At 46.5% G+C, this 22,652-nt stretch overlaps 1 protein-coding gene across 6 annotated transcripts in view, besides 1 other annotated feature; it reads left to right on the forward strand.

The window, feature by feature from the left end:
• Window positions 1-22,652, forward strand: part of RNFT2 (ring finger protein, transmembrane 2) — a 115,317-nt gene that overhangs the window by 83,205 nt on the left and 9,460 nt on the right. For 5 of the 6 annotated variants that reach the window (NM_001382266.1, NM_001109903.2, XM_047429745.1 and 2 more), the window contains exons 8-10: window positions 12,273-12,422; window positions 14,441-14,506; window positions 14,662-14,763. In NM_001382266.1, coding sequence (NP_001369195.1) covers window positions 12,273-12,422; window positions 14,441-14,506; window positions 14,662-14,763 — 318 coding nt within the window. Of the gene's footprint in view, window positions 1-3,463; window positions 3,562-12,272; window positions 12,423-14,440; window positions 14,507-14,661; window positions 14,764-22,652 lie in introns of those variants that run through there. The other variant, XM_047429747.1, reaches the window with a different exon arrangement.
• Window positions 17,258-17,454: a silencer, noted in NCBI's record as "fragment chr12:117276582-117276778 (GRCh37/hg19 assembly coordinates)". NCBI's record gives its function as "represses an EF-1alpha promoter that drives an FKBP-Casp9 reporter gene in an ReSE screen in HepG2 liver carcinoma cells {active_cell/tissue: HepG2}" and the evidence as "EXISTENCE:reporter gene assay evidence [ECO:0000049][PMID:32094911]".

Raw genomic sequence — 22,652 nt, forward strand, 5'->3', positions numbered from 1 at the left:
TTCAGTTCCTTGTCCTGGCCGCCCACTTGGGAGCAGGACTTGTGGCCCCCATACCCTGGGGCTTTTGGGAGCCAACAGGCAGTCCATCCAGGGAAGAAAAGCAAGCAAGGAAAAGTCTCGCAGGAGGCTGAGGGCCCCCTCTGGCCCAGGAGGCTGGAAGCAGTCCCTCCTGCTTATTTTTCCACATGTGGAAGGAGGGCTTTGAAATGCAGATTCCTGGCCCTGTGCTAGCTTGCTAGCTTTAGTCCTTGAAGCTATCCTCCTTTTTCTGACTACTTGTTTCTTTTTTTTTTTTTTTTTTTTTTTTTTTTTTTTGAGGCAGAGTCTTACTCTGTCGCCCAGGCTGGAGTGCATGGAGTGCATGGAGTGCAGTGGCGCAACCTCAGCCCACTGCAGCCTCTGCCTCCCGGGTTCAAGCCATTCTCCTGCCTCAGCCTCCAGAGTAGCTGAGATTACAGGTGTGCACCTCTACACCAGCTAATTTTTTGTATTTTTGGTAGAGACGGGATTTCACCGTGTTGGCCAGGCTGATCTTGAACTCCTGACCTCAGGTGATCTGTGTGCCTCGGCCTCCCAAAGTGCTGGAGTTACAGGTGTGAGCCACCCTGCCTGGCCAACCTCCTTCAACCAGAGGAACCAGCCCTCCTCTCTGTCCCCTTAGTTCTGATGACACCGTCAGTCACAGTGCTGCCCCCATGGTTGTGACCAGGACTGACCAATCATAGAACCCCATGACCTCTTGGCCTCAGAGCTTGGTTCCCAGAGGGAAGCAGGGCCATCATTTTGGCAAATGGCCCCAGGAGAAACAGGGTCTGTCTCTCTCTCTGTCTCTCTCTCTCTCTGTGGCAATTCCAGCTGTAAGAGTGTTGGCTTGGGGCTGCCAGTGGCCATCTTTCCTACTAGATACTGTCAGATCCAGCATTTTCCAGCTGCGTCACCTGGGGCAGGTTATCTAACTTTTCTGTGCCTCCATTTCCTTATCTGTAAAGTGAGAGTATTAATAGCACCTGCCTCATAGTGGTGTGCACAGAGTGGTGCCTAGCACATAGTTAACAGCTAAGTCACCATCATCATCATCACCACCACTACTACCACCTGCAGTGAGTCCAACCTTGGCAGGAGAGAATGAAACTTACACACAAGAAACAGAGACATCTGAGCTGAGAGATGGGGAAGAAGAGGAGAGATAGAAAGAGAACTGGCTGGGTGCAGTGGCTCACACCTGTAATCCCAGCACTTTGGGAGGCTGAGGCGGGCAGATCACCTGAGGAGTTCGAGACCAGCCTGGCCAACATGGTGAAACCCCATCTCTACTAAAAATAGAAAAATTAGCCAGCCATGGTGGTGCACGCCTATAATCCCAGCTACTTGGGAGGCTGAGGCACGAGAATCACTTGAACCCAGGAGGCAGAGATTGCAGTGAGCCAAGATTGAGCCACTGCACTCCAGGTTGGGCGATAGTGCGAGACTCTGTCTCAAAAAGCAAAAAACGAAAAGACAAAAGGAAAAATACAACTAGAGAACTAGAGAAGGCTCTTTGACTATATTGTTTGACCTCCTGGATCCAGGAATCCTTGAAGCCAGAGCCACCCCTGCCTTCCCAGTTTTGTGACCTAATACATTTCCTTCTTTGTGGAAGCTACTTCATGTTAGCTGTCACTTATAGCCTAAAGTGACACCAGTAGTTGTTTTAACAGTGCATAGAGGCCCAGAATGGCGGAGCTGGGTCAACACCCCCATCACACAGAACACTGAGGCCCAGAGAGGGAGAGCAGCTTGCCCAAAGTCACACAGATACAGAGGATGCGCACCTAGCTACCTGACTTCAAATGCCACACTTTAACCCTGTTTTCATGTTATAAATGGTGACATATAAAAATCAGGCCAAGCGTGGTAGCTCACACCTGTAATCCCAGCACTTTAGGAGGCCGAAGTGTGTGGATCGCTTGAGGTCAGGAGTTTGAGACCAGCCTGGCCAATGTGGCAAAACCCTGTCTCTACTAAAAATATGAAAATGAGCTGGGCGCCGTGGCGCATACCTATAATCCCAGCTACTCTGGTGGCTGAGGCAGGAGAATTGCTTGAACCCGGAAGGCGGTGGTTGCAGTGAGCCGAAATTGCACCACTGCACTCCAGCCTGGGTAAACAGCAAGACTCTGTCTAAAAAAAATAATAATAATAATTCTTCTGCTTTCCTGGTCCACTGCCATCCTCTTTGACCAGACTTAATTTATTTTTTCATATTTCCAGGCTGCTAACAGTGCTGCAGCTAACATTTATTGAGCACTTACCATGCGCCAGGCACTGAACTCAATGCTTTACACACATTTGCTCATTCATCCTCCCAACAACCCTAGGAGCCAGGGGCTACCATTAGCCCCATTTTACTAGCGAGGAAACTGAGGCACAAAAGGATGAAGTGACTTGCCCCAGGTAACTCAGGAAGAGACAGAATCAGAATTCAAATTCAGGTCATCTGACTCCCAAGTCCATGCTCTTTGCCATTGTGCTTGCTCAGAATCCAGGGCCTCATCTCTGAAGAGGCAGAGCTAGGATCTGCACCCAGGGCCACGTTTCTTTCCCAGGTCTTTCCCATGGTATTTCTGTGCCCAACATGGCAGTCACTGGCCAACCCTCCCCGTCTCACTCCTACCCTCATCATTTTCTAGAACATTTGTTATGTATAGACTCCCATTCCTAGTATCTTCAGCATTAGAGCTCTCTATGAGCCATGCCTATGGGAAACCCAGCTGTTTCAAAGCACAAGGCCATTTACTTTGCCCCCTCATTTGTCCATTACTCATTCAGCAAATATTTCTTGGTCACCTACTGAGTCCCAAACGCTTTCTATTAGTTAGGATTGGAATCAAATAGTAACAGCAAAGAATCCAAAATAATAAGACTTAAATTTAAAAAATGTATCTCTTTCTCATGTAAAGGCCAAAGATAAGCAGCCCGAGCCTGGGAGTATGACACCTTCCAGCCCACTGCTTCACCAGCTCTAGGGTGTGGGATTCCCCCTCATGGTCCAAGATGGTAGCAAGAGCACCAGCCATCACATCCAAGTTCCAGACAGTAGGATAGAGAAAGTGGGGAAGAATAAGGTGAAAGCTTCTCTGAAGTTTCTACATGATGCTTATAATTGTGTTCATGGTGAAGACCCTCTTCCTGGCTTGCAGAAGGTTGTCTTCTCACTGTGTCCTCAAGTGGCAGAGAGATCTCTCATGTCTCTTCCTATAAGGGAACCAATCCCATCATGAGAGCTCTACTCTCATGATCTAATTACCTTTCAGAGGCCTTATCTTTAAATACCATGACATTAGGGATTAGGGCTTCAACAAAGGAACTTGAGGTGGGCACAGTTCAGTCTATAGCACCAGCTGAGTAGCCTTAGATGGTACTTTAGTTTTTGTTGTTGTTGTTGTTGACTTGAAAAAACCATTTAATTCTCACAATTTTGCAGGTCAGGAGTTCAGTCAGGACACACCGGGTACAGCTTGTCTCTCCTCCCCATGATATCTGCTGGGGCTGGACTGTCCAAGATGGCATCTTCACTCCCAGGTCTGATGCGTCAGCTGCAATGGCAGGAATGGCCTTCTTAAGGTCCTGTATCTGGGGCCTCAGTTCTCACCGTTGGCTGGTTTTCATGTTTCTCCTCCAATTAGTCTCAGAGCTGCTCCCCTTCCACATGTCCTCTTCACTGGGACTCTCCTTATAGCTTGGGCTTCCCACAAACATGGTGGCTGGAGGAGGGAGAACAAGCAAAAGGAAGGAAGTGAAAGCTGTCTGATCTCTTAAGGCCTAGGCTTGGAAGTCCCAGATATCACTTTTGCCTTAATTCTAGTTCACCTTAGTTCATTTGAACCTGCATTTTCTCATCTCTAAAATAAGGCAGCAGTAACATAATGGCCACATTTCTGGATTATCATGAGGGCCAGTACTAGCTGTATCATGTACTGGGCCCTTCTTATGTACCTGTGTTTTAGATTTATTGGCTTATTTAATCCATAAGATCACCTTGGTGTGTTGAATACAGGTTTTACTGACATGTGAGAGCCAATGGTTACATTTTCATGAAATTTGCAAACAGTTGTTAAATCATTGGTAGCTTGAAGCTGGCCTTGTGGGAACATTTATACCACAGAAATTGGCAAACACACAAATCAGGGCCTTTTCTTTCCCCCAGAGACCTAGTTTTCCAGCACAGCACTGCATGCATATCTATATGTATGTGTGTATGTATGTGTGTATTCAACCCCATTTACAGATGAAGAAACTGAGGGTCATAGAGGTTGAATTATTGTGCCAAATCAACCAATTTAATAGGTGATAGATGTGACCTTAGAATCCCAAATCCCACGCCTTTAAACCACTAGGCTGTCCTGCCTCCACAGATGAAAAAATGTGTATAAAAGAGATTCGTAAACAGGCAAAGCTGTATAAATATTATTCATCTTGATACAGAAAAAAAAAGGTTTCATCTCTGTCTGTGCATTTTTCATACATTGAAGCTGCTGACAGATACTTGATTATGCCTCTCCTCCCTTCCTCCCCACCCCCACAAGTCTTCAAATCATCTTTCCCATGTAGGTGCGTTCTTCCAAAAAATTCTCCTCTCTGTTCATTTCTTCTGCTTCTCAGCATCCTACTCTCCTTCATTTCCCACCCGCTTCTGGAGCCAGCCCTCTGTTGTTTCGATGTTTCCCATTTCTCTTATTGTCCCACCCCTCATCTTGGCAGTGAGGAAGTCGGAATAGAATCCGCCTTCCCAACTTGACACTCCCACCCCCTTTATCTGAATCCAAGCAGAGAACCGTCCATGCCCAAGCACGTCCTGCAACAATTGCTACCGTTTCCCCTTCACGGTGGCAGGGAGGCGAGACAGCTCATAATCTGATCGTATTCCTTGTTCTCTGAAGCCCCAGAGAAACCACACATCCCATTTGGTGGTCGTCAGAAATAACATGCTTAAGAAACCTGGAATTATAAAACTGCTTAATTAGGGAGAGATGGTTTTGCTGGGATATGCCCAGTTTTCCTTGGTGGTTTGATCTCCTTTTCAAAGTGGCCCACCCCCGGCAGCTAATTGCTACCTTTAACGGGGTGCCACATAGGCTCTCACTCTCCTAAATTTATTTGCTGTGACATCAGTGCTTGCTTATAAAGAGATATTCTCTCTTCAGCGTTTCAACTCTCCTCCATCAGCAAACTGTAGGAAGTTGACTTGAGTAATAAGGATGGAATCTTCAGCTTCAAGAGGTCCTCCTTTGTTACATGAGCACCTACTACATGCTAGATGCTGGGAATATACCCAGAGTCAAATTATCTTCTCCCGTAAGGGGCTTACAGTCCAGTGGGAGGGATGGATAGTAAAAATAATTTTTTAATATTGTGAAAAATGCTTTGAAGGAGTGATTTAGGGGCTGGGTGTGGTGAATCATACCTGTAAACAGCACTTTGGGAGGCCGAGGCGGGTGGATCACCTGACTCAGGAGTTCGAGACCAGCCTGGGCAACATGGTGAAACCCTGTCTCTACTAAAATACAAAAAATTAGCTGGGTCTGGCAGCAGGTGCCTGTAATCCCAGCTACTCAGGAGGCTGAGGCAGGAGAATCGTTTGAATCCAGGAGGCGGAGGCTGCAGTGAGCCGAGATCATGCCACTGCACTCCAGCCTAGGCAACAGGGTGAGACTCCATCTCAAAAAAAAAAAAAAAGAAAGAAAGAAAGAAAGGAGTGATTTAGGGGAGTCTTCAAAGGTGTACATAACAGGAGCACCTGATTCAATTAAAAAGTCAGGGAAGGCTTTTCATAGGCGGTGACAGTTAGCTGAGACCCAAAAGATGAATAGATGTTAGCTCAGCAAAGAGTAGAGGGACCACTATTCCATCTGCAAAGGAAGAGCTTGGTGTCCTTAAGCAACCGAAAGACAGGGAAAGAAGCTGGTATTAGAGCCTTCTGGGAAATCCTGGGGATGTGTTAGAATCCCCATCGTGACTTATCTAGATTCTGATAGAACAGACCACAGGTCAGAAAACTACAGGCTACAGGCCAAATACGTCCTGCCACTTGTTTTTATAAATAAAGTTTTATTGGAACACAGCCACACCCATTCACTTACCTATTGTCCACAGCTATTTTCCTACTGTAGTGACAGAGGTGAGTAGTGGTGCCACAGACCGTATGGCCTGCAAAGGCTAAGTACTCACTACCTGGTTATTTGTAGAAAAAGTTTGCCAACACTTGTTCTAGAGCTGCCCAATAGCAAGTGGGAAGTTTGGGATTTGGCCCAGAAACCAGCCTGCAGCTCAGGGGCCTGAGAATTGGAAGATCCAAAGACAGTGACCAAAACTAAACCTAAGGTGGCAAGTGACAATCCTAGGTCTGATCCCAGCCTCTTTGGTTCCTGGGGCTGTGCTCTTGACCACCAAGCCAGACTGGTTGTTGAGACTGGCCTGCAAGGAAGAACAGAGAGAGGGGACCAGAGTCAGCCAGATGCCAGCAGGCAGGGGCTCCCAGAGACACAGGGACGTTTCATGGGGTAGCCGTGTCCTTACCTGTCATGAGACCAGGCAGACGAAGCAGGAGGCTGCCCACCAAGATGGCGCTCAGACCAGTGACCATCTTTTCCTTCACCTCTTGGCTCTGGAACACCCTTCCTCCCTTACCTGCCCTCATTTCTTCACCAGCTTGGCTCTTATTCATCCATTAAAGTAGTGCTTCTCAAACTTGGATGTGCACTCGGGTCACCTGGGGACCTTATTAAATTGTAGATTCTATTTCAGGAGGTCTGGGGTGAGGCCTAAGAGCCTGCATTTCTAACCAGCTCCCAGGCGATGCTGATGGTGCTGGTTCATGGCTCACACTTTGGGTGGCTGGAAAGATAACTTCTCTTAGACTTTGTTGATCAGTTTCCCCTCCACATCCCATGCCTCAATTCTGGGGCCCACTCACATTCACCTCTAGCAGAGTTCTACCACACTGTATTATAGTAGTTTGCTTAGTGATGGTCTTCCTCATTGGGTAGCAAGCTTCCTGATGAAGGGATGAGGTCTTAGTTATCTTAGTACCTCCAGAACCTGGCATTGTGTCTGGTGCATAGTAGGTGTCCAGAAATGGAAGCAAGGATGGGAGGGAAGAAGAAAGGGAGTGGGCAAGGAAGAGAGGGAGGGAGGGGCAGAGGAAAGGGAAGGAAGGCAGCATCAATGGATAAAAGGCAGGAAGGGAGGGAAGGAAGAAAGGAAATACAGATGGGTGGAAGAAAGAAAGGTAAGGAAGGAAGGAAACAAGAGTGATCTAGGGGTGCACTGAATGTAGGGAAGAGTGACAAAAGCAGGTTAAGGCCAGGCATGGTGGCTCACATCTGTAGTCCCTACAGGGGACTCAGGAAGCCAAGCTGGCAGGAGGATCACTTGAGCCCAAGAGATGGAGACCAGCCTGGGCAACATAGATAGACCCCATCTCTAAAACACACAATGTTTTAAGTGGAAAAAAAAAAAACTGCAGGTCAAGACTCGCAGTTGAGAGAGGTTGGACAGTTTAGTCCAGGGTAAGATGGAATATGCAAGAGTTGAGAGACCATGGGTGAGAGCAATTTGGGAGACATGAGGGAGGCATGGGGCAGCTGAGGGTGGGTGGTTCAGGGAATGAAAGTTCAAATCATGGATATTCTGCAGATCTTGGGGTCTGCAGCAGGATATGGACAGGCTTGGTTAGCCCTGGCCATACACTAAGTTGCTGTCCATTGGTCCAGCATCCATCATGCCCTTGTCCATGTAAAACAAACATGACGGCCACCCCCTACATCTCTGTACTCCAGTCACCCCCCATCTTCCCAAAAGTTCCAGAGGGAAACCAGCATTTCCCTCCAGGGGATGTTTCTGGGGCTCAGGGACTGGTGGGAGTCAGGAGGGGAAAGGAGGGCCCTTTGGGAAACAATGGCCTCACAACTGGAGGTGGCGAACTAGTCACAAAAATCAGGCAGGGGGTGAGTGATGATTGGATGCCCTTTCTTGGTCCTTGGTAGATGTGGGTGTACGTGCTCCAAGGAATCCTCTTCTGAGTGACATGTGCCCAGCCCATCAAGATGGAATATAAAAGTTGGCTATAAATCTCTGTCCACATGCCACGCATACGATGTAATCTTGGCTCACTTCAACCTCCACCTCCTGGGTTCAAGTGATTCTCATGTAGCTGGGATTATAGGCACGTGCCACCATACCCGGCTATTTTTTTGTATTTTTGGTAGAGACAGGGTTTCACCATGTTGGCCAGGCTGGTCTTGAACTCCTGGCCTCAAGAGATCTGTCCACCTTGGCCTCCCAAAGTGCTGGGATTACAGGTGTGAGCCACCATGCCCAGACTCATTTCCCCTCTAATTTAAACATATCACATGCTCAGTATAAAAAATCTGGAGAGAGCATAAAAACACAAAGAGAATGAGGATTTTTTTTTTTTGCATTCTCTATTATTTCCATTTGGAACAATAATATGAGCATTTGCTTGGGTCAAATGATATCTTTCATCAGGATGATTTCTTTTTTAACTTTTAATTTTGAGATAATTTTAGACTTAAAGAAAAGTTGCAAAAGTAATGCTGCGAGTTCCCATATACCCTTCATTCCTCTTCCCCTAATGTTGATATCTGATATACCAGAGTCCAATTAGCAAGGGCAGGAAATGAACATCAATACTGTTACTACTAACCTAAAGACCTCATTCACATTTTGCCAGTTGCCCCATTGACATTATTTTGTTTTTCAATTTTTATTGTTGTTTTTTTGTTTTCGAGACAGGGTCTTACTCTGTCACCCAGGCTGGAGTGCAGTGGCACAATCATAGCTCACTGCAGCCTCGAACTTCTGGGCTCAAGCAATTCTCCCACCTCAGCCTCTCAAGTAGCTGGGACCACAGGAACTCACCACCACTCCCAGATAATCTTTTAATTTTTTGTAGACACAAGATCTTGCTCTATTGCCCAGGCTGGTCTTGAACTCCTGGGCTCAAGGGATCCTCCCACCTTAGCCTCCCAAAGTGTTGGGAGTACAGGTGTCAGCCATTGCACCTGGCCTATTGACATTTTTTGCTAGTATAGGATTGAATCAGGGCTGGGCGCGGTCGCTCACACCTGTAATTTTAGCACTTTGGGAGGCTGAAGTGAAGTAGGTGGATCACCTGTGGTCAGGAATATGAGACCAGCCTGGCCAACATGGTGAAACCCCATCTCTACTAAAAATACAAAAATTAGCCGGGCATGGTGGTGTGTAATCCCAGTTACTTGAGAGCCTGAGACAGGAGAATTGCTTGAACCCAAGAGGCAGAGGTTGCAGCGAGCTGAGATTGTGCCACTGCACTCCACCCTGCCTGGGTGAAAGAGCAAGACTCCGTCTCAAAAAAAAAAAAAGAGAGAGAGAGAAAGAGAGTATAGGATTGAAACCAAGATCCCATGTTACATTATTTGTCACGTCTCCTTAATTCTCTCCAACCTCACACTCCTTGGTCTTCCCTTTGTCTTTCATGATCTTGACATTTTTGAAGAGTGTTGGGCCCCTTCAACTTGGGGCCAGGTGCAATGGCTCATGCCTATAATCCCAGCACTTTGGGAGCCTGAGGTAGGAGGATCCCTTGAGCCCAGGAGTTTGAGACCAGCCTGGACAACACAGCATGACCTCGTCTCTCTACAAAAAAAAAAAAGAGAGAGAGAGAGATAATATCCTTCAACTTGGATATGTCTCTTGTTTTCTCATGATTAGATTAGAATTTATTGCTGAGTTTTGGTGAGAATACCACAGAAGTGATACTGTGTCTTTTCAGGACATCATGTCAGAGGGTTCAGGATGTCAAAATGACTTCTCACTGGGGATGTTAACCTTGATCACCTGATTAATATGATGTATGTTTCCTTTCTTCACCATAAAGTTGCTATTTCTTCAGGGTACATTTTTAATGGCTGTATGGCTTTCCATTATAGATCTCTAACATAATCAGACCCTCTTTTTTGTACATTGTGTTTTTTACTTTTTTTTTTTTAGTATTACAAAGAATGCTGTAGTGACCATTCCTATAGGCACATCTTTGCACCTATCTCTGATTATTTTGTTAGGGTAAATTGCCAGACATAGAATTGTTAGAGTAAAGATTATACATATTTTTACAGATATGGATGCTTGGGGCAGTGTTGTTTGTTTGATTTTATCAGCTTTATAGAAGCAGGATTTAAATACAGTAAACTGCACATGTTAGGAGTGTATATTTCAATGAGTTTTGGCAAACGTGCGCACCCATGTATCCCCCATCCCAATCAAGATATAAAATATTTCATATTTCTAGGCCAGGTGCAGCAGCTCACACCAGTAATTCCAACACTTCAGGAGGCTGACAAGGGGCAGATTGCTTGAGCCCAGGAGTTTGAGACCAGCCTGGGCAACATGGTGAAATCCTGTCTCTACTAAAAATACAAAAAAATTAGCCAGGCGTGGTGGTGTGTACCCGTGATCCCATTTACTTGGGAGGCTGAGGTGGAAGGATTGCTTGAACCTGGGAAGTCGAGGCTGCAGTGAGCCATAGTCGCACAACTGCACTCCAGCCTGGGCAACATAGCAAGACCTTGTCTCAAAAAAAAAAAAAAAAAAATATATATATATATATATATATCTTTCTATCCCTTTCCAAAATTTCCTGACACCTCCTTGCAGTCAGTTCTCCCCACCTCTCACCCCAGACGACCAGGGATCTGATTTCTATTATCTCAGATTAGTGTTACCTATTCTAGGACTTAGTATAAACCAGAATTATACAACAAATATTCTTCCATGACTGTCTTCTTTGATTCGACATAATGTTTGTGACATTCACCCATGTCATCGCGAATCTCAGGCATTCATGTATACTTATTGCTGGACAGTATCCTGTTGTATAAATACGCCATCATTTGTTTATCCGTTCTTCCATTGATGGGCGTCTGGGCTGCTTCCAGTTTGGGGATTTTATGAATAAAGCCACTAAGGACATTGGCATACATGTGGACATATGTTTTCATTTCTCTCGGGTAAATAGCTCAGACTGGAATTTCTGGGTCATAAAGTAGGTATGTATTCAACTTTATTAGACACTACAGAGTGGGTGTATTTTCATCTCCATTTTACAACACAGGCCACAGAAAGCTTCAGGGACTTGTCCAAGGTCAAGGGGAGGAAGAGAAATAGGATTTTTCTCCAGGAATAATGCTAGGTGCTTATCCTGTTCATCTCCTTTAATCCTCAAAGCAACCCCGTAAGGTGGGAATTCTGATTCCCATTCTGTAGATGGGGAAACTAAGGGTCATGAACATCCAGCAAGGTCAGGTTCAATCCCAGCCCAGTGTGAGTACCCAAGTCGTGTTCTTTTTTTTTTTTTTTTTTTTTTTTGAGATGGAGTCTTGCTCTGTTGCCCAGGCTGAAATACAGTGGTACAGTGGTGTGATATCTTGGCTAACTGCAACTCTGCCTCCCAAGTTCAAGCAATTCTCCTGCCTCGCTTGAGTAGCCTCCGAGTAGCTGGGATTACAGGTGCGCCACCACGCTCAGCTAATTTTTGTATTTTTAGTAGAGTTGGGGGTTCGCCATGTTGGCCAGGCTGGTCTTGAACTCCTGACCTTAAGTGATCCACCTGCCTGGGCCTCCCAAAGTGCTGGGATTACAGGCATGAGCCACCACACCCGGCCCCTGTTCTTTCTCAACACAACTAGGTATTCATCCTGCCTCCTTGGAAGAGAGCAGGTGGTGGAGCTAGGAAGGACACGTATCTCCCCGCTTTGGGCCTTATTGCCTGGCCTTACCTGCATTCTGTGCCCATCCTGCCCAGGCCCCTGAGAGCAGTCGCCTGTGATGCTCGAGTCAGCCCTCTAAAGATGAGGATGGCCTGGATGCGGAGGGCAGGGACTGTGCCCCCACCTTGGGCTTTGAGCCTTCCAAGCCACAGCGAGACCCAGAGGGTGACCCACTCTCCAGCCCTCTGCCCAAAGGTGTAGGGTTTCTCCTACCCTGAAACTCGATCCTCAATCCTGGGCACTTTGGTCTTCTGGGCTGCTGGGTGGCGGGTGAGGGCAGTGGGCAGGGGCCGCGTCTCCCTGGCCATATCGCAGCCCCATTAGGAGCTGGCCTGAGTGCTTTCCAGAGCTGATTAATGGCCTGCCTGTGACCTAGAATGTCATCACTGCCCGGGGCGGGGGGCCCCCCAGCTGGGTCCTTTGGGTCTTTACTGCTAATAATAATTGATGTTCTCTGTGTGGTTGCAGGGAAAGTTCTATCTGGTCATCGAGGAGCTGAGCCAGCTGTTCCGATCCCTTGTCCCCATCCAGCTGTGGTACAAATACATCATGGGTGACGACTCCTCCAACAGCTACTTCCTGGGCGGGGTCCTGATCGTTCTCTACAGCCTCTGCAAGGTGAGGTGGCCCCAAGGCTGGAGGGCCGGCCTAAGGAGGGCCCCATTCACTAGTCAGGCCTCAGGGGGCTCCTGGGCAACCTAGAATACCCATGCTGATTTATTTATTTATTTATTTTAATTGAGGGAAAATTCATACGACATGAAATTAACCACTAACTGTTTTATTTTTATTTTATTTTATTTATTTATTTTTGAGATAGAGTCTCACTCTGTCTCCCAGGCTGGAGTTCGGTAGCGCAGTCTCGGCTCACTGCAACCTCCACTCCTGGGTTCAAGTGACTCTCTTGCCTCAGCCTCCAGAATAGCTGGGACTACAGGCATCCACCACTATACCCAGCTAATTTTTTGTATATTTAGTAGAGACAGGGTTTCACCATGTTGGCCAGGCTGGTTTTGAACTCCTGACCTCAAGTGATCTGCCCACCTCTGCCTCCCAAAGTGCTGGGATTACAGGCATGAGCCACCACGCCCGGCCTCCAGTAACTATTTTAAAGTGTATAATTAAATGGCATTGAGCGGATTCACAATGTCACACAACCACCACCACCTCTGTCTAGTTCCAAGACATTTTCATCACCCTGAAAAGAAATACCCATTAAGCAGTCACTCCCCATTCTTCCAACCTCCCCTTCCCCCAGTCCTTGGCAACCACAAATCTGCTTTTTCTGTCTCTATGAATATACTTATTATGAATGTTTCATATAAATGGAATCATGTAATAGGTGCCCTTTTGTGTCTGGCACTTTCATTTAACATTGTATTTTTGAGGTTCATCCACATTGTAACATGTATCAGTATTTTTTATGGTTTAATCTACCCTAATTTCTCACCTATGAAGCTCACCATATGATATTCTTTCCAATAGTCATCTTCACAAACCCTTCAAGGTACATACTATTATTACTCCTTTTTTTTTTTTTTTTTTAGACCGAGTCTCGCTCTGTTGCCCAGGCTGGAGTGGAGTGGTGCAATCTTGGCTCATTGCAACCTCCGCCTCCCGGGTTCAAGCGATTCTCATGTCTCAGCCTCTCTAGTAGCTGGGATTACAGGCATTCACCACTATACCTGGCTAATTTTTGTATTTTTAGTAGAGATGGTGTTTTACCATGTTGGCCAGGCTGGTCTCAAACTCCTGACCTCAAGTGATCCACCTGCCTCAGCCTCCCAAAGTGCTGGGATTACAGGCATGAGCCACCCCACCTGGCCCCCATTATTCCCATTTTACAGGTTAAGAAACTGAGGTTCAGGGAGGTTAGAAACTGAGGTTACTTGCCCAAGGTCACTCAGGTAAAGACAACAGAATAAGCATTGAACCCAGGCAGGCTGCCTCTAAAGCCATAAGCTCCCAACCACACTTCTACTGAATGTTTTCTATCTCTCTTACCTCAAAAATAGTATCCGTGTTAAATTGCACACCCTCAACTCCTCAAATTAGTATGTAGTGCTTTTCTTTTCATCATTAGTACAAATCAGAGGTTTTTTTACCCTCTAAAAATCCATACATCCTTCTCTTTCTCTTTGGTTCTCCATTTCTGGCTTTAGAGAATCCTGGGAGGATGCATGAGTTCTTCTCTTTCCTTCCTTCCAGCAGGACTGGCAAGGCAATCCATGTAGTATCAGCCATTGGGGCATACTGATTACTTGCTGGTTCTGATCAACACAGTGGCTGACTGGAGTGCTAGATGGAGAAGGGTTATCAGGGTGGGCTGGGCTCAGAGGAAGAGTGCTGTGATCGATTATCAATGCCTGCTGTGGGCTTGGGAAGGGAAATAGGCACTATGCATGCCATATATTTGCTATTCTGGCCTAGGTAGCAGGGGAAACTCTTGATATTAGGCAACAAGACAAAAGCCATGCAACACTGTTGGGAAGGAAGAAGTGCAAATGAGAAGAGGAGCCCTAAAAATGTTCTGAGTCAAAAATGGGTGGAGGGTCAGAGGATGGGGTGGGGTGATTGTGCAGGGGTCACGAGTGATCCTTGGGTACATTTCAGCCACCACCCTGCTCTCCTTTCAGTCCTTCGACATCTGTGGACGTGTGGGCGGAGTTAGGAAAGCCCTGAAGCTTCTCTGTACCTCTCAGGTGAGTTGGCTTCAGGTGGTCCCCACCAGGGTCCTGAGAATCAGGAACTGGAAACAGCAGCGACCCCTTCCTCAGCCCACAGATCTCACAGTGCTCCTGAGGGCGTAGTTCCCAAGGGCGCCCATAGCTGTATTTGCTTCTCCCCTCCCTCAAAGAACTATGGAGTCCGAGCCACCGGGCAGCAGTGCACAGAAGCTGGTGACATCTGCGCCATCTGTCAGGCCGAGTTCCGAGAGCCTCTGATTCTCCTGTGCCAGGTGAGCAGGGCTCAGGCGGGACCATTGGAGACCAAGGCTGGGGGAGAGTAGGACCCTTCCCCATGGGCAGTCCTCGGGTCTCTGGCATGGGTCTCTGGGGGGCAATCCGGTTAAGACCGGAGTCAGCCAGACCTGGGTTCCAATCTCACCTCTGCCTCTTAGTAGCTGGGTGGACTTGGGCACGTTATTTCACCTCTCTGAGGCTTGGTTTCCTTAGTAAGATGTAGAATGCCAAATTCCGTATGGTGTAACATCAAAATATCCTGCATGTGAATTTCAGCAGCATTCTTGACCCCCTGTGGGTCAGTCACTCTCTCTCTGAGCCTTGGTTTTTCTCATGTCTAAAATGGACATAATAGTGGCCAGGCACAGTGGCTCACACCTGTAATCCCAGCATTTTGGAAGGCCGAGGCAGGCAGATCACCTGAGGTCAGGAGTTCGAGACCAGCTGGGCCAACATGGTGAAACCCTGTCTCTACTAAAAAAAAAATACAAAAATTAGCCAGGCATGGTGGCACACACCTCTAGTCCCAGCTACTCTGGAAGCTGAGGCAGGAGAATTGCTTGAACGCGGGAGGCAGAGGTTGCAGTGAGCCGAGGTCATGCCACTGCACTCCAGCCTGGGCAACAGAGCAAGACTACATCTCAAAGAAAAAAAAAAGGACATAATAATAACAGCTACTTCATAGGGCTATTATTATGATTAAAGTAGATCATCCATGGAAAGAACTAAATTTCAATTATTCAACCATAGAAGTTGCTAGAATTATCATTGTCATCTGTATAATTATTATTACCATTTGTTTTTATTAGTCGTGGGTCACCAGCCCACAGTCGTAAGTGCTGGCCGGTTCCTTTTAAATCCCTAAATGCATCCCTCCTCCTCCTCCTGACATCAGGGACTAGGTGTCAATTCAGCAAATGTGTATTGGGGTCAAAGCATCCTATCTGACCCAGGAAGGAGAGGCAGAGGGCCCACAGATCCCGTCCCCTCCTCTGGAAGCTCACAGTCTCTGCCGGGAGACAGACACTTACATAAATAACTGTGAAGCAAGGCAGGCAGTGATAAGTGCCGTGTAAGAGAGATTCATGCAGTGTCTCGGGGGACTGAGGCAGAGAGCGATGAGTTCCAGGTTGGGAAGGGTTTTTGGAGGAGGCATAGCCTGGAGACTAAAAGGCATGGAAAGGCTTACGGGTAGGGGGATAGAAGGTGGGTTCCTTTTTAACATCGACAAGCATTTTTGTTGCTGTTGTTATTGCTGTTTGGAGATTTGGAAGGGGGAGGTTGTTTTTCATGTTCAATTGTATTTCTTTTTAAATGGATAATATATTTGCATGAATCAACATTCAAAAAGAAGACTAAAGAGACATGATGACTAAACACAGTCTGGGACCTGGGTTGGATCCCAGAACAGAGAAGGGACATTAGTAGAAAACAGGTTTGATGAAATCCAAATAGAGTCTGGAGTTGAGTTAATAGTAACATATCAACGTGGGTTTCTTAGCTTTGACAAATGTACCACGGTAATGCAAGATGATGACATTAGGGGAAACTGAAACCCAGTGAGGGGTGTACTGGGATTTTCTGTTCTATCTTTGCAACTTTTCTGTAAGCCTTAAATTATTCCAAAATAAAAAGTTTACTTTAAAAAAAATCTTTGAAAGATATAAAAAGGAGGCCTGTCACCATATGTATGTATATGTGTGTATATATTTATACACACACAAACATATTTTTTTAAAAAAAAACATAAGTTATAGTACATTCTACCTATGCTGTTTTCTGCACCTTCCTTTTTAACTTAAAACTCTATCTTAGAGATTGCTCCTTATCCTATTTTATAGCTGCATAATGTGCCATTTTATGAATAGACCAGTTTGTTTAACCATTCTTCTATTGATAGGCATTTAGTAGCTGATAATCTTTTGTTATTACAAATAAGGCTGTCATGAATGATCCAGAATGGGGAGATCAATTGCACCAACCTGGGCCCATCGTGTTGATTAAAGGTTAATTCAAGGGAAGCATTTAGAACTGCTCCTGGCACGTGGTCAGGGTTCAATAAATATTAGCTCTTATGGGCATGCATCCCATTTCACACACACATGAGCTCTTGGTAGGATAAATTTCTAGTGGAAGAATTACTGGGTCAGAAGGCACACAGTTTTGACAGTTATTGCTAAACTGCCCTCTGTAAAGAATGTATCCACTTAGGCTGTTAGTATGCAGTATGACACAGCCGCTTGCTTCTTCCCTCACCAACACACAGCGTTACCAAGCCTCTTTTGAGCTTTGCCAATCTGACAGGTGACAAACGGTATCTCAGTGCAGTTTTAATTTGCATTTCCCTAATTATGAGCGTGGTTGAGCATCTTTTCATATGCTTCAGAGCCATCTGTAGTTCCTTCTTGGTAGCAGGGACAATTTGAACATGATGTCAAGGTGAAAGTCTGACAAGCTCTCTAAGCCTCAGTCTGTTTGTCTCTCCTCCATTCTTCTCCTGATACCACTATGTGCAACTGGATTAGAAATTCTTGGGAGGAGTCAGACAAGACACCCATTGTCCCAGATCTAGGAGTAACAGCTGTACCCAGTGCTGGTTGAAGACTGTACATATGACCAGGCCAGGCACACATTTTAGTCTTGCTCTGTTGCTGTGAGCTAGGCCTGGAAAGGCAGAGATGATTCACATAGGTAAATGGGTCATGCTGATTCCTAAAAGCATTGAATGAATGAACAAATGAATGAATGACTTGGTTGCGATGTTGCTTCCTCCATAAAGTCTTTCCTGACTCTGCTTCTCCAGACTAGTCACGTCCCTGGCTATATGGTCTCATAGATGCCTGTGTTTTTCCTACTTAGCACTTATTCCAATTGTTAACTAGGTAGTTCATTTGGTAATTAGATGGGCAAGGTCTGTCTGCCTCCTGGTGAATCACAAGCAACATGAGAGCAGATACCATGTCTGTCTTGTTTAGCAGCAGAGCCACAGTACTGTCTCAGTAAATATTGGATGGATGGATGGATGGAGGGATGGATGGACAGAAGGAAGGATGGATGGGATGGTTGGATGGAATGTTTAGATTAATAGGATGGTTGGGTGGGTGGATGGATGGATGGATGGATGGGATGGGTGGGTGGGTGGATGGATGGATGGATGGATGGATGGATGGATGGATGAATGGAAGTGAATGATGGACAGGTGGAGAAGTTGGTGGGTGAGTGAACGGTAGGTGGACAGAGGTATAAGGGGGTGAGTGACTGTATGGATGGGCAAATGGATGGACAGATGAGTGGGTAAATAGGATGGATGGACAGATGGACGGATGGATGGAATGGTGTCCAAGTGGAGGAGTGGATGGGTGAGTGTAAAGGTGGGTAGATAGAGGTATAAGTGGGTGAGTGACAGTGTGGGTGAGCAAATGAATGGACAGATGGGTGGGTATATAGATGGGTGGGTGGGTGAATGGATAGGTGGAAGGAAGGAAGGAAGGGAGGGAGGGAGGGAGGGGCGGAGGGGCCCACTAGGCTAAAGCCACACCTTGTCTCCCCTTTAAGCTCAATATGTCACTCCCACTCCACCCACTACCCCCTGAGCTAGGGCTCAGGAAGCAGATTGTTAATTGAAGCTGGTTGGGCAGACACTGAGCATGTCCTGAGGTTAGAACACTCTGCTCAGGAGCACACTTGCCCAGTTAGGCACTCTGCAAGTATTTATGGTGTGCCCTCTGACAGGCTACAGGGAGCCAGGGAAAGGGCATTTTGAACACAAAGTGAGAAGCTTGGTTCATTTAAAGAAATCCTTTGCCAAAGAGAAGAGTAAGAGTGCATTTAGAGAATGAACTGTCCTCCAATTCTTGGTCACTATGAGTTTGGTTTTTTGCATGTTTTATGATATGAAGGCAAGAGGGCAAGAGAATGGTGACTCCTGTTGATTTCGTGCTTACAAGTTCTTCATACTTGACCTTATCTGTCCCCATCTTCACAGACACTTCGGGCGGGAAGTAGTTACCCTATTTAATAGAGACAAAGAATCAGGCTCAGAAAAACAAAGGGATGGACTTGCCTGAGGTCCCGTTGTTCCTCAGTCACAGAACCAGGATTCAAATCCAGAGCCTCTGATGCCATTGGCCATGCCCATTCCACAAGGCTTGGTCTCAGGCTTTGAGATGCCCCCAGGGCTGCATTACAAGATCAGAGCACTTTTTCCAGAAATTCCTGGGAATAGTCTCTGCTGTGTCCAGCCAGGCCTGTGCACGTTGCCTCCTCGGAATGAATGAATGGCTAAGCTGGAATCAGAGTTCTTGACACCTACCTCTGACTCCTCCATCCAGTCATCTATGCTTTGAGGGCTTATTGAGCACCAACAATATCCTAGGCACTAACTCTGTAACCCTGAGCAATGCATTTCATTGTGACCCTGACCCTCCATGTCATCTGTCACCCAAGATTGACAAGCTGCTGGGCAGCTTGTAGGACTTTTTTAAGAGTCATATGAGATGATGTATAGGGCTGTATATGGGTTTTGAAAATCATAGTGTATTATACCGATATTCAGTATTAGTGTTTAATTCTAAGTCTGGACTTGGCTGGCCTGGTTTGTGTGATTAAAGAGGATCTGAGGTTAGGGGTATGTGTCTGTGTGTGTGTGTGTGTGTGTCCTGTCTGGTAGTAGCCACATTTTCAGTAATGTCATTTTTCGTAATTAAATGCTTCAAACATCCTTTCCCAGATTCCCTATAATGAGTAAGGGTTTTCACTACAAAGTCAGATGCTTTTAGTATCAGTTATCAATTGCTGTATAACAAGTTACCCCAAAACTCAGCAGCTTAAAGCAACAAATGTTTATTATCTCACAGTTTTTACGGGTCAAGAATCCAGGCACAGGCCAGGCATGGTAGCTCATGCCTATAATCCCAACACTTTGGGAGGCCAAGGTGGGCAGATTGCTTGAGGCCAGAAGTTCAAGACCAGCCTAAGCAACATAGCGAGACCCCCATCTCTACAAAAAATACAAAAATTAGCCAAGTGTGGTGGTGCACGCCTGTGGTCCCAGCTACTCAGAATGCTGAGGTGAGAGGATTGCCTGAGCCCAAGAGGCGGAGGCTGCAGTGAGCCGAGATTGCACCACTACACCATAGCCTGGGTGACAGAGGGAGACCCTGTCTCAAAAAAATAAAATGACTGGGCATGGTGGCTCACACCTGTAATCCCAGCACTTTGGGAGGGTGAGGCAGGCGGATCACCTGAGGTCAGGAGTTCGAGACCAGCCTGGCCAACATGGTGAAGCCCGGTCTCTACTAAAAATACAAAAATTAGCCTGGCATGGTGGCACACACCTGTAGTCCCAGCTACTCGGGAGTCTAGGGCAGGAGAGTCACTGGAACCTGGGAGGCAGAGGTTCCAGTGAGCCAAGGTCATGCCACTGCACTCTAGCCTGGGTGACAGAGCAAGATTCTGTCTCAAAAAATATATAAATATAAATATATATATATAAATATATATATATAAATATATATATAAATATATATATAAAAATATATATATATAAATATATATATAAATATATATAAAAATATATATATAAATATATATATAAATATATATAAAAATATATATATATAAATATATATATAAAAATATATATATATAAATATATATATAAATATATATATAGAGAGAGAGAGAGAGAGAGAGAGAGAGGGAGGATCCAGGTACAACTTAGCTGTGTCCTCTGCCACAGGGCCTCTTACAGGCTGCAGTCAAGGTATTACCAGGGCTGTGGTCCTCTCCTGGCTCAACTTGGGGAGGAGCTGCATCCAAGCTCCGCCGTGTGGTTGCTGGTAGGATTCCGTTCCTAATGGGCTGTGAAATTGGAGGCCTCAGTTCCTCACTGGCTCTTGTGGCCAGTAGATACCCTGAGTTCTGGAAGTCACAGTCTTTTGTAACCTAATCCCAGAAGGGACACCCCATCACCTTCACTGTATCCTCCTTGTTGGAAGCAGGTCACTAGGCGCCACCCTTACTTAAGGGAAGGGGATGCATGAGGCTATGAACACCAGGAGAAGGGGATACTGGGGGCCATAATGGAAATCTGCCTCTCACATGCCCGAGGTTGGATTCCAACCCTGCCACTTAGCAGCTGTGTACCTTGGGCGCACAGCTCCCCCTCTCTTGAGTCTCACTGACCTGTCTGTTTGCTGTTATGAGACTGGGGTGCAATTATGCACATAAAGAACATTGGCAGGGCCTGGTATCATGTTCCTACTTTATTTTATTTATTTATTTGTTTGTTTGTTTGTTTGTTTGAGACAGAGTCTCCCTCTGTCACCCAGGCTAGAGTGCAGTGGCATGGTCTTGGCTCACTGCAACCTCTGCCTCCCGAGTTCAAGCGATTCTCCTGCCTCAGCCTCCCGAATAGCTTGGATTACAGGCACCCACCACCATGCCCAGCTAATTTTTGCATTTTTAGTAGGGACGGGGTTTCGCCATGTTAGCCAGGCTAGTCACAAACTCCTGGCCTCAAGTGATCCACCCACCTTGGCTTCCCAAAGTTTTGGAATTACAGGTGTGAGCCACTGTGCCCGGCGTGTTTATACTTTATAAGGGGTAGTGGCTCATAACTGCCTGTTCTCCTCCTCACCTGCATTCATCCACCTGGACCCAGGCCTGGCTGCTTCCTGCTTTCTCGGCTCACGCTGAACACCAAGTGCTAGGTCCAGAAATGCCCCTCTCCCACTCAAAGCCTCTTCTCTCACATTGGGGCTGGCTCTTGTGATTGTAGGCTCTTGTCCCAAGCCCCACCTGCCTGCTCTGGATCTTTGGGCAAGACCTGGATAGAATTTGGGGTGAGGGTGAGGTGACTGGTTTAACCCCAATTCTGTGCTTCGGGAGGCACGACCAGGGGGCAGTTAACAATCCAAGGCCAGCTGGGCACAGTGGCTTGCACCTGTAATCCCAGCATTTTGGGAGGCTGAGGCGATTGGATCCCTTGAGCCCAGGAGTTTGAGACCAGCCTGGCCAACATAGCAAGACCCCAACTCTACAAAAAATACAAAAATTAGCTGGGTGCCATGGTGCCTGCCTGTAGTCGAGCTACTCAGGAGGCTGAGGTGGGAGGATCACTCGAGCCCCAAAAGGTCGAGGCTGCAGTGAGCCTTAATCACACCACTGCACTCCAGCCCAGGTGATAGAGTGTGACTGTGTCTCAAAAAAAAAAAAAAAAAAAAAAACCCCAAGAAACAAACAAACAAAAAAACAATCCAGGGCCACCTGCCTTCCCCACTGCCCATCAATCCACCCGATCCTATCCTTCCCAGCTGAGAAAGGGCTCCTTCTTCCTCCCCCTTCCTCTGTAGACGTTCATCCCTTTCTCCACATGCTGGAGGCAGTCCACAGCCGTGAACTCCTCAGCTGGGCCCTGGGGTAAACCTGGTTTTTTGAACCTTTTCATTTGACACCAGATTCTGTCCTCCCATTTCTCTGAGGAAGGGATTGTGAGCTCCCGGAGGGCAGGGACCAGTCCTTCATCACCCTAGTATCGCCAGACTTTCCTGTTTGGTCATTTGTCATCTGCATTCCCATTCATTTGTCCTCTCCATTGACAGAGCCCCTACTCTGTACCAGCTCAGGGCTGGACAGTAGGAGTACGATAACAACATGGCTGCCCTCATGGCGTTTACCACCTAGAGGGCAGGGCAGATGTTGACTAAGCATTTAGAACAGTGGTTCCCAAAGTGTGGCCAGGGTACCCCTGGGGGTTCCTTTCAGGGGGTCTGTGAGGTCAAAACCATTTATATAATAATACTAAGACATTATTGGCCTTTTCACTCTGGTTCTTTCATGAGTATACAGTGGAGTTTTCCAGAGGCTGCATCGCCTGCGAGGA

The sequence above is a fragment of the Homo sapiens genome, chromosome 12 (assembly GCF_000001405.40).
Source record: "Homo sapiens chromosome 12, GRCh38.p14 Primary Assembly".
NCBI classification, from domain to species: Eukaryota; Metazoa; Chordata; class Mammalia; order Primates; family Hominidae; genus Homo; species Homo sapiens.